Raw genomic sequence first — 19,192 nt, 5'->3', positions numbered from 1 at the left:
TTAAGGTATTTCTTATGTGCAGTAATGTCTGCGTCTAGCTAAGCACCCAACAAATAACAGGCTTTCAAGCTTTTTTAATGAATAAATGGTAGCACCATTTTACACATTTTGTTACCTTTAGCAATTAGTCAGTATTAAACCATTAACATGAGTGATGGAGCCCAGGGTTCTGTCTTCTAGCATCTGAGGTCCCTTGCCTCAGAACTCTGCACCCAAGTGGGATACATGCCGCTCTCTCCATTCTGCACAGCACCTTGGCCCTGAGGCAGCCTGCCTGTACCTCGCATCGCCCAGGGTCCCTGGAGCAAGCATCTGTTTTCTGTAGTCCTTCTCTACATAGGCCTGGACAAGCAATAGGCCTATGAAGTCCTCGGGATTCCCTGATTCTGGAATCCAACACTGAGGACCCTGCTCCATGCAAAAGGCAAGTGTGAGGCTGCCTCACCAAGACAGCCACCCTAACAGCCCCTGGTCTTCCATCAAAACCAGCACACTCCACAACAACCAAAAGGTGGAAGCAACCCAGATGTCTGAATAGATAAACAAAATGTGATCCAGTAAACACAGGGAATATTATTCTGCCTTGAAAAAGGAAGGACATCCTGACACATGCTATGACATGCATGAAGCTTGAGGACATTATGCTAAGTGAAGTAAGCAAGTCACAAAGGGACAGACACTGTATGAGTCCACTTATAGGAAGCACCTAGAATAGTCAAATTCATAAAGTCAGAGAGAAGAATGGTGGTTGCCAAGGGTGGGAGGAAGGGCAAAGGGAGTTGTGTGACGGGTACAGATGATGAAAGATGAAAAGAGTTCTGGAGGTGGATGGTGGTGATGGTTGCACAACACTGTGAGCGTAGTTAATGCCACTGAACTATGCGCTTAAAAATGGTTGAGATGGCTGGGCACGGTGGCTCATGCCTGTCATTCCAGCACTCTGGGAGGCCGAGGCAGGTGGATCACCTGAGGTCAGGAGTTTGAGACCAGCCTGGCCAATATGGTGAAACCCCGTCTCTACTAAAAATACAAAAATTAGCTGGGTGTGGTGGCGGGCACCTGTAATCCCAGCTACTTGAGAGGCTGAGGTGGGAGAATCGCTTGAACCTGGGAAGTGGAGGTTGCAGTGAGCCAAGACTGTGCCACTGCACCCCAGCCTGGGCAACAGAGTGAAACTCTGTCTCAAAAAAAAAAAAAAGGTTGAGATGGTTAATTTCATGTTATGTGTGTGTTTTACCACAATTAAAAAACAATGCCCACTGGCCAGATGCGGTGGTGGCTCACACCTGTAATCCCAGCACTTTGGGAGGCTGAGGCGGGCAGATCACGAGGTCAGGAGATCGAGACCATACTGGCCAACAAGGTTGAAACTCCATCTCTACTAAAATACAAAAAAATTATCCTGTCATGGTGACATGCCCCTGTAGTCCCAGCTACTCAGGAGGCTGAGGCAGGGGAATCGCTTGAACCCAGGAGGCGGAGGTTGCGGTGAGCCAAGATCATGCCATTGCACTCCAGCCTGGGCAACAAGAGCGAAACTCTGTCTCAAAATAAATAAATAAATAAACCAAAAAAAAAAAAAACAAAAACAAACAAAAAAAAACAATGCTCTCCTGCACACCTACCTCCTGGGGAGAATGGCAGGGCCAGCACCCTTGACAGGAACGTGCCCCGGCTCCATGCCTCTGGATGTGGTGCGGCAGCACATGCAGTTCCCCAGGGGGACGTGAAAGGAGGCTGTGTGAGGATGCCAGATGGCAGAGCTGAGGCCCAGGTACTATGACGAGGCAGGAGGAGGGGGCCCCACAGCTCATCCTGCCCCACGCACCTCACTCAGCCCTGGACGGGGCCAGGCAGCAGCAGGCGCTACTCCTCCTACCCATCTGCATCGCCCTCGCCTTCTCTCTCACCACGGTGGTCAGCAGCCACTGGTGTGAGGGGACCCGGTGGGTGGTGAAGCTGCTGTGCCAGGACCTGCCAGGAGGGCAGCACTGCGTTCACTTCAAATGGGACAAAAGCAGCGATGGCAGGATGGACGACAACCAGGCTGTGCTGTACATTTGGGAGCATTTTCCTGTAGTTAATATTAGTGTGTCTGCATACTGAAAGTTAGGATTTAAGCTATGTTGATTGAAATTTTCTTCCCACTTAAACTATTGTCTTCTTAAAGACAGGGAACATGTTAACATTTCAGTCAGACATAGTTAAAAAGACTAATCTAAACAAGAACAAGACACTTTCCAGCATCACTACGGTATGATACAGTTTCTTAACTTCCCTGAGCCTTCGTTTATTGTTTTTTACCTGTATGCAGAGAAATATAATGTATGCTCTGCTTTCCAGATATAGATATTATAATGATAAAATAAAATAATACATATAAAAGAACTTTGCTACCTATAAGATACCATGAAAGAAAGATGTTTGTTTATTACTACGCTTTCAATAGCAGTTTCTAACAAGATGAAAAGGAGAGTGGGGAGAGAGAAGGGAAGAGGGAGAGAGAGGTAGAGGGAAGGGGGAGAAGCAACAACTTACTGCCTTATTTTTATAAATGTAGAGAGCATCATAATTCTGTAAACCACTGTTCTAAGCCAGTCTCCTCAATGGGGTAAAAGAGGATGATCAGGGAATTGAAAATGTGGGAGGTTTTGGTTATCATAGTATCTGGAAAGTGTTATTGCATTTATGGGATTGGGTAGCTGCTATGCTAAACTTTCTGTAGCCTGCTGGATACTAACACACACACAAATTACCCCACCCAAATGTTATTGGCAAATAGCTAAGCCTAGCAAACATTTTTTGAAAAACTTTTCTTTTCCTATTTGAATTAAATAAGTTGAATCACACACCAGTACATGTATTTTCAAATTCAGGATGAAGAAAAACCCCCAGCATTTATGATATACCAAATATAGTCCTACTGGTATGCTTATATGATAAAGTATTTTATAAAATGTAATGTAACCTATCAAATTATTTATTTATATATATATATATATATATATAAAATGTAAAGGCTTTTATAAACATTTAACATAAATGTGTTATGGTGCTGGCAAAGTGTGGTGGCTCATACCTGTAATCCCAGCTCTTTGGAAGGCTGAGGTGGGAGGATAGCTTGAGGCCAGGAGTTCGAGACTAGCCTGGGCAACAAAGCAAGACCCCATTTCAATTTTAAAAATATGAATTTATTATGGTGCTATGTAGGTCTAACATTATAAGATGAATTATCTCTATTCCGTCTTAATATTTGAGATAGTGTAGGAATATTTTCATATCAATGTATTAGAAAGTTCTGGTGAGAATATACTTTACTAGAAGTGCAGCATTGTGTTTAAAAAGAGAAAAACAAGTAAGATTTCTCATATTGTGCCCCAGGCAACTGTAAAATTTTCTGTAAAATTAAGAAACAAGACTATTTCCGCTCAGTATTATTTAAGGTAACTTTCAATCACAGAGGGATGAATCCAGTTGTCTTCATACTAGAAAGATCTCTGCAATTAAAAATTAACCCCACTCCCAAAATCATTGTTGAAATCAAAATATTGATTACATACCATAGACTCGAGTCATTCGCCTTCCTCTGCATTTGAACAGTGCAAGACGTCTTCTAAATAACCTTGTGGGGAGGATGTTCAGCTTTTGCGACTCCACAGAACAAAACTATCTCTCATGGTTCTTATTGCAGTTTACGTGAGTCTTTCCCACGCTGTAAGCAAGTAAAGTATCCAAATGCACCATTTTATCAAGCGCTCCATGGTCCAGAGGCAGGATATTTTGAAAGTTTGTGGCTAAAGTTGTGGCTCTCTAGTTCCATCCTAATCTAATTTTGATAATAGGACCTTACAGTTTCTAGTACTTGTAGAAAAAAAACCTAAATTAATTCATTTTCTTCTTGGATTCCAGTAATTGTTTGGGATTTGTCTTCTACCAGTTGCTTTTGAGAAAGATATTGATTTCTGGATTTCTTTAACTAATCATTGCTTTCAAGAAAAGCACTGCTCATGTCCATGCAGTTCACACCTATTTTTACAGTGATTCAGTCTGGAAAGTGAAGAGGCAGAATATAAATGTTAAAGAAATATTACTAATGGTAGATATGGTAATATCATCAGTTCAGGAGCAACTTTGCTTAGTTTGTCCTTTATGTGCTCTACAGGTTCAATTTAATTGAAAGGGGGAAAGGAGTAAGAATCAAAGTTTTGAATTTACACACATGGTTTATTCTTTTAATATATGACATTTTGATTAAAATACTTTCATTTCTGTCAAATCCAACATTACTTAGAGCCAAGTTTAGTTTTTTGGAAAACTTGCAAAATCAATCTTCTTCCTTCCTTTTTTATGTGCAAATCATGGGAAGATAAAATTCAAATAAAATGTTTCTAGACATAGTGACTTGATAATTTCTTTCTGTTTGGTAAATTGATCTTTCATGTTTCCCCACAGGATATAAAATTTCCAGAAAAATATATAAGATGGTATGAAGCTATGAAGCTGATTAAATATGGTATGTAGCAAATAAATTTAATTAATTCAAAATAATATTCATTTCACCATATCCAAGGCTGGGCCTACATGGTAAGTGCTTGCTACATTTATTCTCCAAATTCTTTCTTGCAATGCATTTGCCTTATTTACTCCTTTCCTTCCCATATCCACAAAACATAGTTTCTCTGTGGATAGCACATTCATGGCCTGATAAACAGCTTTCTAATACAATATATAACCTCTCTGTAAACATTTTCTTAAGCCCATGACCACTCTATAACATTGTAAGTTCTCCAGCTGATAAATGGGAAGTTGTTTAGTATATTCAAGGCATAGTTAAGGAACCAACCATAATCTTTGGTCTGAGAATTGCATTCTCTATCATGGATCTCTACCACTAAATGAGTGACACTAAGAACTTGTCCTGATTGAGGTAATTTCTTTCATTTCCAAAATGTGAGTGATTAGCCATTGTCTTTCCAATGCTTACAAGTAATCTGGGTATATACTTTTGAAAATAAGAATTTTCTAGGAATCTCAATTTTGATATTCAACATACAGATAAAATGTGTGATGTGTTTTATATTACTTAAGTCATTTCTATAAGTTATTTCAATAAACTCATTCTCGGTGTGTGTAAATGGGAATAACAGGTTATATTGTCTTAGAAGCTGGTTGGTGGGGAGGGATGAATTCAATGAACTCCTCTTCCCCATCTCCACTTACTTCCACAAATCATAGTTTATATGCATTGGTGTGTAAGTTGCTCTTTCAGGTAGTTTAAAATAGTACTTCTCATAATGCCTTTTTCTACTGGTCTCACACCTGTCAGAATGGCTACTGTTAAAAAGTAAAAAAACAACATATGCTGGTGAGGCTGCAGATAAAAGGGAAGGTTTATACATTGTTTATAGGAATGTAAATTAGTTCAGCCACTGTGGAAAACAGTTTGGAGATTCCTCAAAGAGCTTAAAACAGAACTGCCATTCAACCAAGCAATCTCATTACTGGGTACATACGCAAAAGAAAATAAATTGTTCTACCTGCACCCTATGTTCATTGCATTACTATTCACAGTAACAAAGACATGGAGGGAACCTAGATGTCCATCAGCAGTAGATTTAATAAAGTGGTACGTACACACCATGAAATACTATGCAGCCACAAAAAAGATAGAAATCGTGTCCTTTGCAGCAACATGAATGCAGCTGGAGGCCATTATCCTAAGTGAATTAATGCAGGAACAGAAAACCAAATGCCGTACCTTCTCACTTATAAGTGGGAGCTAAACATTGAGTACTAGTGGACATAAAGATGGCGAAAATAGATACTGGGGACCGAGGGAGCAAGGGTTGAAAAACTAATTATTGAGGACTATGTTCGCTACCTGGGTGACGGGATCATTTGTATTTCAAACCTCAGCATCATGCAATATACCCATGTAACAAACCTGCACATAGACGCCCTGAATCTAAAATAAACTTTGAAATTATATATATATATATATATATATATATATATTTTTTTTTTTAATGGAAGTACTGAAGTCACTTCAGTAATAGAATAGTTTGGGTTTCCCAAATTCTCCCAGAGCACATAGTGCTTTGCTGACTAGTTATACGACTGAGGGCCCTAAGGACATGCTGGATGAATGGGGAGAGGGGTAGACCCCATATTTTCAAGATTTATCCACTGCCCTTAGTAACACATTGTGTGGGTAGGAATTTCAAACTACTTCTTATTTTAACCTGTGATTTTGACCACAGTGAAAAAGCAGTACATATACTGAAGTCCCTTTGGGGAAGTCAGTTTGTCAACCCACTAACTAGCCTCTTGTTATATATTCCTTCATATATTAGTTCAATTTTGGATCCCTGAGTGTTAGTTTTCCAACAATATTGTGCATCCTAATAAAATCAAAGTATTCTAAGTTATTTGCATGTCCCTTTATGTCTACATTTTAACTATAACATTTCAATGTATATTCCGTAATGTATAAATGAACTGAACTGAATGTGTAAAAGAGAAAAATACCAAGAGATACAAAATATTTAAGGTGAAGAGTATATTGAAAACCACCCCAGGGGCCTACTAATTCTTTCTTCAAAAGCCAAGCCAAACATTCTCTTTTATGATTTTATCTTTATTGTTGCTACGTTACAACCCATAGTATCTTGCATTTCACCTCTTATATTCTCTCTAAAATGAAAGCAATAAACACAGTAAAAAGGAACTTCTTGTATGGTTCTTTTATTGACACTTTTCTAAGGATTTTGCAAGTATGTACTACATATTTCTTTAAATGTAACTATGTATTTTAATATAAGGAAAGCATGTGAACAGGTTATTATTAAAAATCCTTCATAGATATTTAAATAACATAATTTTCAATTTTTTTTTCTGTTGGCAAGACATTTTAAAAAGTTTAATTCAGGGTTTTATGGTGTGGTGATAGTGATAAGTACATGTTTTTATTATGTGATTTAATTAGGTTTCGGAAAAGATAAAGTTGAAAATAAAAAAAAATCTTGAAACACAGGTCATTAAGAACATGGAAATCAAATGATATTTCCAAAAGCTCAAGAAATATTTAATGGCAAGTTTGAATGTCATGTCCAGGAAAGAGCAATTAGAACAGGACAGGCCATCATCATGTTAAGGTTAAATTGTCTAGAAACAAACTCCCCATGATCTGCAGGAATATATTCTATTCCTGGTTGCTAAAACCAGGAATTTAAACCATCTAAAACTTGGTATTTTTTTCAACCCTCCTTTTTAGCACCAAGAGCAAAGGTGAAAAGTGAGAATAAAACCACAAATAATACTAATACACTCCTCACCTTCAAAGAACAGACAGTATAAACAGGCATACAATTTAACAAGCAATTTCAGGAAAGCACGTTAATTATGAAAGGACACGGCAGGATAATAAAGTGAGCCAGGATGTGAGAATGGGTGGCATGTCAGAAAAGCTATCCTGGAGGAATTGCTGTCCAGTGGATAATAGAGGAGTGAATAAACCATACCATTATGTTGGTGCAAAAGTAATTGCATTTTTTGCATTAAAAGTAATGGCAAAAACCACAACCACATTCGCATCAACTTAATACTATGAACAATCTTATTACTACCTTTAGGTGACAGACATAAATACTGACGCTGGGTTTTTATAAAACTGAACATATATATATATACCTATGACCCAGTTGCAGTACACATATGTTCAACTTTAGTAGATACTACCTAACAGATCTAAACACGTTTGTCCCAAATTACACTCTTTCCAGCAATATATAACAGTGTCATTTGTTCTACAACCTTGTCACTACTTGGAGTGGGGGGTGAAATAAGATAAAAGGAGGGTGGACTCTGTTAGCAGTGGAGTTTGGAGCTGAATAGAGTGTTCCAGGCTGAGGGACAGCACATGCAAAGGCCTGTGGAGAGGGGAAAATGAGGTTTATTTGAGCAACCAAAGATACCCTGATGGTGTGTGTTAGTGGATGAGCACTGATAGAAAATAAGATTAAATAATAAGTAAGCATGAGATCATAAGAGGCCTTTCATGTCACATGAAGAGATATAAAACATTTTATAATGGCTTTATATTGGCTTCCTTAAAGGTAACAGAAGCCAATGAGAGGTTTTCTTACTGAGAGTTCACTAAAGGGGTGAAGATGGGAAGTGGGAAGGTAAGAACCACAAGGACCATTTAAATTGAAACAGTGATAAATACAGGTGAGAGTGATAATGAGACCCTGCACCAGAGTACTGGTAATTGGGGATTTGGTAGCTATATAACAGGCAAAATAAATAAAATCTACTAGATTTGGCAGAGAAGGAGTTTGAGTATTGCTCATGTTGAGTTTCATGTGCTTCTGTGATACTTAAACAGAAATATCCCTTCTATAGAGGTAAAACATGACAGGGCTTGAGGCCCAGGAAAGGGTTCAGCACTTGTGATTTTGACTTGTGAGGCATCAAAATTTAGATGGTGGTGGAAACCATGGGAGTTAATGTAGATGCTGATGGAGTATGAGTGAGAAGAAAAGGGAATCTAGGACAATCTGGGAAACACTACCAATACAGAATCAGTAGACAATAAGAATGGGGAACCCATAGAAGATATGGATGTACATGCAGTGGTGTAGTAGACAGTTAAGAGGTGAGCTGTCTTGGATTCCAAGGAACAAAATTGATTTCACAAGAGTGATATGATGGACAATATTAAGACTGAGACTACAAGTAAGATTAGGACTAAAATAAAGCCATAAAACTCCATGAAATTAAGATTATGGGGGGCTATTATGAGAGCAGTTTCATAGACGATGAAATAGTAAGAGCTAGATTTGGCATGAAGGAGACACGAGGAAGAAGAGACAATAAAAGTAAACCAGGGTTTGCCAAATGCTCTTCTATATATTTTTTAGTTCACCTCAAATAATTGAAAAAAAAAACAATATTGTTTTTCATAAAGTTCACCAGGGTTCTCAACCTCAATACTATCACCGTTTTACACTGGATAATTATGTACTGTAGGAGGCTGTCTTGTGCATTGTAATAAGTTTATCACTATCCTTGACCTCTATCCATTAGATATTAGTAGCACATTCTGCTCAGCGTGACAAACAAAAATGTCTCCAGATATTGCCAAATGCTCCTTGAGGGGCAAAATCATTCCTCATTAAGAACCACTCAGCTAAAGTGATTCCAATTATAGAACGATACCATTTTTATGTTAATTCTTTTTATGAAATGACAATAGCATATTGGACATGTGTGGGTCTGTGCACATGTGAGTGCCTGTGTATTTAACTTCCTTACATAGAATAATTTTTCAAATGAAGTTGGTGTCTGAGTTTTCTTTTTGAACATTTACTGTTTATATAAAACTCAAAATTCTAAAGATTACTAGTGTAGTGCAAACAATGTATTTCAAAACTTTAGTAATAAGAGTTATTTTGAGTAGGAATTGGAGAGGCATATGAGATAGTGTTTTTTTTAAATATGGGATTATTGAGCATATTCAGATGCTATTTGGAGGAATCAAGCAATATGTAGAGATTGAAGTTATTGAATATGAGAGGCGCATCAAAGACAGCAGAATATCCCTGAATCTGTGAAAGGGTGAATAATAATGGGATTCAATAGTCAGGCAGAAGTATTCAACTTAGGAGGAGGAAATGGTGTGTGTATATGTGTGTGTGTGTGTGTATAAACAGACTTGATTTTCTGTTTGGTGAAATGAAGTTGAAATGTAGGCTACTCAAAGGTTCTATTGTCTTCATGAAGTAGCAAATAGTATCTTTTGCTGATAACAAGGCAGAAGATGAGAAAGCTGTGGTTTTAAATGATTGATGCGAATACATGAAGAATGAGTTACTCAGAAAAAATGTAGTAAGATTACCAAGCAATTTAAAGTTGGTAATCATAAATCTGTAATGAAGCCAACTTACAATGTTGGATGCTTTTTCAAGGATACTCAGCTGCTATAGTGCAAGCACAGAGAATGTAGATCACTGAGTTCCTAGAGGTTTGGGGTCTTTACAGATCCATACTTAACATACAGGGACAAAATATTTAAAAATGTTACTGGCTACATGGAAAGAATTTTAATGTATACACAACTTAAAGAGCCAGATATTATTTAGAGCAGCACTCCTCAACCATTTTAGCACCAGGGATCGGTTTCATGGAAGACAATTTTTCCATGGACTGGAGCAAGGTGGTTGGGGGATTGGGAAGGCATTACATTCTCGTAAGGAGCGTGCAACCCAGATCCCTCATATGCACAGTTCACAATAGGGTTTGTGCTCCAATGAGAATCTAACGCTAATCTAACAGGAGGTGGAGTTCAGGCAGTAAAGCTCGCTCACCTACCGCTCACCTCCTGCTGTGCAGGTGCAGCCTGGTTCCTAACAGACCATGGAAGGGTAACAGTCCATGGCCCGGGGCTTAGGGACCCCAGATTCAGAGGGCCAGGCACACAATTTGAAAGCAAGACTTCATTTCCTAGCTTTTCCCACTGAGAGGGCCCAAAAAGAGGGTAAAGAAACAACAGCTTAAAATTGTCCAGATCTTGGTTTCTAAACACCATCCCACAACAAAAGGAACTAGGTATCCTTGGAAAAGCAAGTGATTCTAGGGCTGAAATAGGAAAAATACAAGATGAGTCTTGAAAATCTTGTGACATTATGAAGTAACAAAATGAACAAAAGGGAACGGGGGATTGTTGAAAGAACATAGTAGCCAACCTTTAAAAAGATCCTAACTGAATCTGCCAAAGACAGAACCATTTGTGCACACACACAAAAATGATAGCACTGGATTTTAACCTACAGGAGAAAATGAATACCCAGAAGTCTATCTGGATATAAATAAATCACCAAGTAAATAAATAAATAGGGAAGAAGGCATAGAAAGAAAAAGAGAAATAGAAAATTCACTTTTAAGCACACACCACAGTAATAATTGCTACAGACGAGATCCAATAATGAATACTAAAAATAGTAAGTGAAGTTTGATGAGAAACAGAATTTGCATAGACTCAAAATATCTCCACAAAAAATAGTTACTAACTACAGAAAGATCTTAACTTTACAGTGGAGAAACCTGGCAAAAACTACCTTAACCAAATGATCATGGTTAACATAACCATGTTGATATCATGGTTATGTAATTTTTTTAAAATATGGGATTATTGAGCACAATTGGGATGCTACTTGGAGGAATCAAACGATACTTAGAGATTGAAGTTACTGAGGGTGAGAGGCACATCAAAGAGAGCACAATATCCCTGACTGTGAAAGGGTGAAAAATAATGGGATTCAAAACTCAGGCAGAAATATTCATAAGAAGTATTCATAAGAAATGTTGATATAATGAGCCCCACTGATGTGATGCACTTCTGAGGCACAATATCATGTTTGTGGTATTCTTGCCAAAAGTGCATAACTTCATTCAAATCATGAAAAAACATCTGAGAAACCCAAACTGAGGGCCAGCTATAAAAGAACTAACCAGTATGTATCATTAGTACCGAGATTATAAAAAACAAGGGAAGACTGAAGAACTGCCAGACATTGGAGGAGATGAAGAGACACAACAACTAAATAAAATATGGGATAGTACATTGGATCCTGAAAAAGAAAAGGGGCCATTAGTGGAAAAATTGGTGAAATTTGAATACTATGTATAGTTCAGTGAATAGTATTGTACCAATATTAATTTACTGTTTTTGGTCATTATTATGTAAAATGTTAACTTTAGGAAAAGCTAGATGAGAGATATTTGGGAATTGTACTTTTTTTGCAAGTATTCTGTAAGCATGAAATTAGATAAGAATTAACAATTCAAAAATATAATTGATTCTTCATGGTAGGAAAGGAAGCAAAGACAGTCATTGCCTGAAACATAGTGACCTCAATAAACAATTTTGGAATGAATGAATAAATAAAATAATGAAAGAAAATTACCTAAATCCTAGAGTACTACTTCAAGTGAACAACTACATCTTTTAAAATTAGACCAGTGACTCAAAATAAAATAAACCCACGTCTTTCCCAATAATTTATTTCAGAACAGAAAATCTAAGTCAAATATTAAATTTAAAAGTGTATTAAATCCAGCCAGGCACAGCGGCTCACGCCTGTAATCCCTGCACTTTGGGATGCCGAGGTGGGCGGATCACTTGAGGTCAGGAGTTTGAGACAAGCCTGGCCAACATGGCGAAACCCCATCTCTACCAAAAAATACAAAAATTAGCCGGGCATGGTGGCCGGTGCCTGTAGTCTTAGCTACTCCCAAGGTGAGGTAGGAGAATCACTTGAACCCGGGAGGTGGGGGCTGCAGTGAGCCAAGATGGTGCCACTGCACTCCAGCCTGGGCGACAAAGACCCTGTCTCAAAAAAAAAAAAAAAATTGTATTAAATCCAAGCTGCTAGAACAAGAAAACTAATAGAACAAATGGAACAGCAGCTTTTACTTTGGAGAAAGGCAGTACCATTTTATCACGGAGGCCTCAACAAATGAAAATACCCAGAATCAACTAATAGAGGAAGCAGTGATATTTAATTCCCAAGTAAAGATATATTAGAAAAAGTCACTTTAATACTTGTATTTACACAACACATGGAAACAGAGATATTAAAATCCAAGAATCACTGCTAGTGCTAACCTAATATACCCAGCAGAGAGGAAAGTAAAACTGAGAATTTTGACATCTATGTATTTTGTTAGCACTGTGAGAAGCAAGAAAATGAAAACAATAAAAAACATGAAGAGTACTTCTAGGTTCCCAAGTTAATGCTGCTGATGGACATCTGAAATTATGGCTGTATAGAACTGAGTTGCCCAATATGTTTGCCATAAGCCGTATAAGGTCACTGAACATTTGAAATGTGGTTAGTCATTGAATTATGTTGTAAGTATAAAATACATACCATATTTGAAGACTTACTATGAAAAAAAGAGTGCAAAATGTTTTATGAATTTTTATATTGATTACACATTGGAACCATAATATTCTGGATATATTGTGTTGATAAAAAAATTAATTTCACTAATGATTTTACTTTCTAAAATGTGACTACTAGTAAATTTAAAACTATTTCCGTGGTTCACATTTTATTTATGGCTGTATTATATTTATATTGGATAGCACTGGTGTAGAAAATGAAAGAGAGCTAGGTAGGAAAACAGTATTTTTAACAGCATTAAAGGGTTCTATCAGTAAAACTCTAACATTTCTTTTTAATATTTATTCTAACATTTATATTTCCTTTTAAATTTCCACTGGAACCACCTTTTCACCTCAGAACTGAAGTGTTCATCAATTATGTATTAAGCCCTTAATTCAAAGACATGATGTTCTAGAAGAACATGTTGAAGCCGTTGCTAATGTATCTGATTATGTACCCTGGCAGTCCTTCAGGGCACGGGATAATCTGGCCCCTAGGGATTGACAGACTTTATATGGCACTTTTTTTGTTTGTCTTTTTCAGTGTCCAGCACAGAATTATGTTTGAATGTCTCTTAAAAGATTCCGTCACTTCTACTAGACTCACCCAGTTTCTGGGGGCTCTGGGACAAAAGGAGCAGAAGGGGGAAATAGCTTTACTCTTCTCTGTGTTTAAACCTCATCTTCCTTACTGCTCTCAATCCAAATGAGGCAAAAAACATACCCATCTCATTGCCTGTCTTTTTCCCCATTGAAACCAGGGCACAGATAGTCCTGATTAACCAACCCTCTCTTGCTCCTTTCACTTGACACGACTTAGCCCTTCTGTGACAAGGGCCTTGTAAGGAAAAGACATTTAAATCTAACAAGCCATAATTAATACACCTCACTTGAGTCCTAGATTAGTCATTAGCAAACTCTTTGCTCTCATGACTCCTGTACTCTGGTCAAAATTACTGAAGACCCAAAAAAGCTTTTATTAATGTGGATTATAACAAACTATAGTTAGCATATTAGAAACTAAAAGTGAGTGATTTTAAAAAAACATTTAAGTATCAATTCATTTAAAATGATACTTACAAACCCATTTAATATATTTATAATATATTTTATAAGAAATATTAACTATATTATTTAATATAATAATTATATCATCTTTAAAATAACTATATTAAAAGAAAAATTAGTGAGAAGAGGGCACTGCTTTATATTTTTAAAAATCTCTACATCTGGCTCTGTAGAAAACAGCTGGAACTTCACATTTGCTTCTGCATTTAAGCTGGTGCAATGTATAGCTTTAGCTGATGTATATGAATAAAATATAGCCTCACAGATAGAAAGTCTGAAAAGAGAGGAGTACTTTGGGTATTCAGTCTGTTTTGGTATATTTGTGTGTGTGTGTGTGTGTGTGTGTGTGTGTGTGTGTGTGTGTGTGTATTTCTCTGAAACTACATCCAAATAGGCAAATAGCAGTTTCTTTTTTATTTTATTTTAAGTTCTGGGGTACATGTGCAGGACATGCAGGTTTGTTACACAGGTAAACATGTGCCATGGTGGTTTGCAGCACCTATCAACCCATCACCCAGGTATTAAGCCCCACATGCATTAGCTATTTATCCTGATACTCTCCCTCCCCCTACACCCCCAACAGGCGCCAATGTGTGTTGTTTCCCTCCCTGTGTTAATGTGTTCTCATTGTTCAGCTACCACTTATAGGTGAAAACATGCAGTGCTTGGTTTTCTGTCCCTGTATTCATCTGCTGAGGATAATGGCTTCCAGCTCCATCCATGTCTCTACAAAGGACATTATCTTGTTCCTTTCTATGGCTGCATAGTATTCCATGGTGTATATGTATCACATTTTCTTTATCCAGTCTATCATTGATGAGCATTTGGGTTGATTTCATGTCTTTGCTATTGTGAATAGTGCTGCAATGAACATACATGTACACATATCTTTATAATAGAATGATTTGTATTCTTTGGGGTATTATACCCAGTAATGGGATTGCTTTGTCAAAAGATATTTCTGGTTCTAGGTCATTGAGGAATCGCCACTGTCTTCCACAATGATTGAACTAATTTACATTCCCACCAACAGTGTAAAAGTGTTCCTATTTCTCCACAGCCTCACCAGCATCTGTTTTTTTTTTTTTTGACATTTTAATAATTGCCATTCTGACTGGTGTGAGGTGGTATCTCATTGTGGTTTTGATTTGCATTTCTCTAATTATCAGTGATGTTGAGCTTTTTTTCATACGTTTGTTGGTCACATAAAGGTCTTCTTTTGAGAAGTGTCTGTTCATTCCCCTTGCCCACTTTTTAATGGGGTTGTTTTTTTCTTGTCAATTTGTTTAAGTTCCTTGTGAATTCCAGCTATTAGACATTTGTCAGATGGATAGATTGCAAAAATTTTCTCCTTTTCTGTAGGTTGCCTGTTCACTCTGATGATAATTTCTCTTGCTGTGTAGAAGCTCTTTAGGTTAATTAGATCCCACTTGTCAATTTTGGCTTTTCTTGCAATTGCTTTTGATATTTTCTTCATGAAATCTTTGCCCATGCTTATAAATGGTATTGCCTGGATTTTCTTCTAGGGTTTTTATAGTTTTGGCTTTTATGTGTAAGTCTTAAATCCATCTTGGGTTAATTTTTGTATAAGGTATAAGGAAGGGGTCCAGTTTCAATTTTCTGCATATGGCTAGCCAGTTCTCCCAGCACCATTTATTAAATAGGGAATCCTTTCTCCATTACTTGTTTTTGTCAGGTTTGTCAGAGATCAGATTGTTGTAGATGTGCAGTCTTATTTCTGAGATCCTTATTCTGTTCAATTAGCCTATGTACCTGATTTTGTACCAGTACCATGCTGTTTTGGTTACTGTAGTAACCAAACCTTGCAGTATAGTTTGAAGTCAGGTAGCTTGATGCCTCCAGTTTTGTTCTGTTTGCTTAGGATTGTCTTGGCTATACAGGCTCTGTTGTGGTTCCATATTAATTTTAAAGTAGTTGTTTTTTGTAATTCTCTAAAGAATGTCAATGGTAGTTTAATGGGAGTAGCACTGAATCTATAAATTACTTTGGGCAGTATGACCATTTTCATGATGTTGATTCTTCCTATCCATGAACATGGAATGTTTTTCCATTTACTTGAGTCCTCTCTGATTTTCTTGAGCAGCAGTTTGTAGTTCTCCTTGAGAAAGTCCTTTGCTTCCCTTGTTAGCTGTATTCCTAGGTATTTTATTATCTTTGTAGCAATTGTGAAGAGGAGTTCATTCATATTTCCCTCTTGGCTTGTATACTGTTGGTATGTAGGAATGCTTGTGATTTTTGCACACTGATTTTGTATCCTGAGACTTTGCTGAAGTTGCTTATCAGCTTAAGAAGCTTTTGGCCTAAGACGACAGGGTTTTCTAGATTAAGATCATGTCATCTAAAAGCAGAGACAGTTTGACTTCCTCTCTTCTTATTTGAATGCCCTTTCTCTAATTTATGAAGTTATTAATTACCTTCCTCAATTCCTATTTTATGTCTTTAATATTTACATATAAATCTTGCTTTTAATGTTTTTATTATATTATGTAGTAATCCTAACATTTGCAAGTTAGCATTTTGTCTCCACATTTTCCAGGGGAAGGAAGAATGCAGAGCCAATATGTTCTTCTATTTGGTCCCTCTGTCAGGCACAACTCCGTAAACTTTTCTTTGATTTAGCAAAGATTTACAGAAGGTTCACTGTGACCCTGCTATTGGCTGGCAATACCAAGAGACATAGCTGCTTTGTACCATCATATTTGAGTCATCCAACTAACTCCCTCACTAGGCTTTTCTAATTGTAATTGACTTCCTTTGGAGTTTTTCCACAGGGAGGATATCTGCTGGTCTGGCTGACCTGATTCTCCAGTTAGCTTGACATTTGTATTTCTCGTTGCAAATTAATAGATCAGTATTCAGATTTACCCTGAAATATCCTGGGAGTTGCATAGCATGGACCAACATCCCTACGTCTGATCAACACTAAAGCAGTTTCTAAATGGAGATCATGATAAATGTATTAAGAAATTTCCACTGGGTGAGAGCCTTCTAGCAGCCAGTTTTCTCTGTTAATATGCTTATATGTCACAATGTCATTTGTCACTTTTCACAGAGCTCTGACATAATATTCAAATAGTTGAGATATAATAGATAGTTTGAGTTCAATGTTACGTAGAAAAATCACTATTTCCTCATAATGGACAGTTTATTTCTTTATATAAAGCCATTTTGAATAAGCTTAATGTATTTTTAATATAACCAGGAAGCCAACCTAATTGCTATTTCCCCAGAAATTACTTTTTATAACTCACTATTAATGCAGTAAGGTTTTTAAAAGTTTTTTTCTTTCTATATTTTTGCACTGGCTTATTTGAGGTAAATTTTAAAATTTTGTGTTGAAAAATAAACCTACAGTGATTATTTTTTGCTGAGATAAAATATAGCCAGGTTTTCCAGATGTGGAGGATAATCCAGGGGTTACATAAAATGAGATAATGTTTTCCTTTTTAAACCATCACCACTAAAGACTTAGTATTAATACTGCATAGCACTTTTCAGTGCACAAATACTTGTAATAAATATTGTACCACATTTCTCTTAATATAGCCGGATGTATGAGTAGAAAAAATGTTATTTCCAATCTAGAGGTAAATGAAGATAGGTCCAAATGGTTCCATGACTTGCCCAAGTTCACACAGCTGGTAAGACTCAAGTTGAACTGTGTCTTTAACCCTGCATATCCAATTTCTCTGTACCTTCTACTATTGGTACCTGGAATTACTAATAGCAATACATTAGACAAGTTGAATACGTTATATATTTTTGAAGGAAAAAGCCACAGATGAACAATTCAAATGCATTTTAAAATTGCAGCTACATTGCATTGAACTAAATTAATGGGTAATCAAATTACTACACATACTTTGACTTATTAATGAAGATGTATTAGGTGCATTGTCAATAGAACACTTGTTTTTTACTTGTTGCTGTGCTTGTGGCAATTTTGTGTACTGTTTCACCCAGATCTTTCAGAATTTGTTCCAACAAATTCAAGATGCTTTGCTGTTTCATCAGAATGGATAATATTAAGGTACAATCCAGTGTATTGAATACATAAAGCATGCAACTTTCCAAACATTACTAGCTGTTGGTGATGTTACAGGTCCCACTCACCACCACCAACCTAGTTCAGATAAATTCCTTTATACATGAATCCCATGAAAACAGGAAAAAACAAAGCATGATACATATATAATGGCATGTACTATATTACCAAATACATTTCTGACTGGAATTTCTGCTTTGACAAGCTTCAATGGAAACCAAATCTCCCATTACAATGTTTTATGACTCATAAGTGGTAGAACTTCCCAAAGACTAGCTCCTGGCTTCATATATTTCAAATCTTGCTTCTCTTCCCATATCCACAAGCCTTCAATGCTAAGTTCTTTAGAGCACATTTATATCACAGTAATGATACGGGAGTGCTGGGAAGGGAAGAGTGTGGTCCCTTTAAGTGATATGGGGGTGGACAGGGAAGTGCTGGGTAGAGGAAGGCATAGTCCCTGGCTAGGACTCCACCTCCACTGACCTAGGTGAGGATAGGCACTCCTACTTTCGAGCCCAAATGTTGCATTTTCCAAGACAACTCTGGCCCTCCACACCCCCATCCTGGGCCTGTAAAAACCCGAGACCCTAGCAGGCAGACACACAGGTGGCCAGACATCGAGATGAGCACATCAGCGGAAGAAGACACAAATGGCTGGACGATGAGAGGACATCGAGGGAGCACGTTGGTGGAAAAGCACAACGACAGATGCTGGCATGCCAGCAGGCCATCAACCAGAGGGATGAGGCCAAGTTTGGCCTGGCTGGAGCAGTCAGAGGAGAGCCGGGGCCGTCGAGTGCCCCAACTCCAGGGGAAAACTATCTCTCTTTTGGTTCCTCCATCGCCTGAGAGCTACTTCCACTCAATAACACTTTGCACTCTTTCTCCAAGCCCACGCGTGATCCGATTCATCCGGCATAGCAAGGCAAGAGCCAAGGATACAGAAAGCCCTCTGTCCTTGCTACAAGGTAGAGGGTCTAACTGAGCTGCTTAACACAAGCCGCCTAAAAGAGCACCCTGTAACACATACCCATTGGGGCTTCAGGAGCAGTAAACATTCACCCTTAGACATTGCCGTGAGGTCGGAGCCTCACAGCCTGCCCATC

The 19,192-nt window shown here is 37.6% G+C and overlaps 1 protein-coding gene across 9 annotated transcripts in view; it reads right to left on the bottom strand.

Annotated features, from left to right (window-relative positions):
• Nucleotides 1-19,192, bottom strand: part of DCAF8L2 (DDB1 and CUL4 associated factor 8 like 2) — a 281,002-nt gene that overhangs the window by 155,942 nt on the left and 105,868 nt on the right. For 8 of the 9 annotated variants that reach the window (NR_148432.2, XM_024452371.2, XM_024452373.2 and 5 more), the window contains exon 1: nucleotides 3,561-3,657. The exons of the other annotated variant lie outside the window; for it this stretch is intronic. The gene's annotated coding sequence lies outside the window, so the exon portion shown is untranslated. Of the gene's footprint in view, nucleotides 1-3,560; nucleotides 3,658-19,192 lie in introns of those variants that run through there. 9 annotated transcript variants of the gene reach the window in all.

Source organism: Homo sapiens, chromosome X (assembly GCF_000001405.40).
Source record: "Homo sapiens chromosome X, GRCh38.p14 Primary Assembly".
NCBI classification, from domain to species: Eukaryota; Metazoa; Chordata; class Mammalia; order Primates; family Hominidae; genus Homo; species Homo sapiens.
The sequence above is the reverse complement of the archived record's forward strand: the minus strand, read 5'-3'. Positions and strand labels throughout refer to the sequence as shown.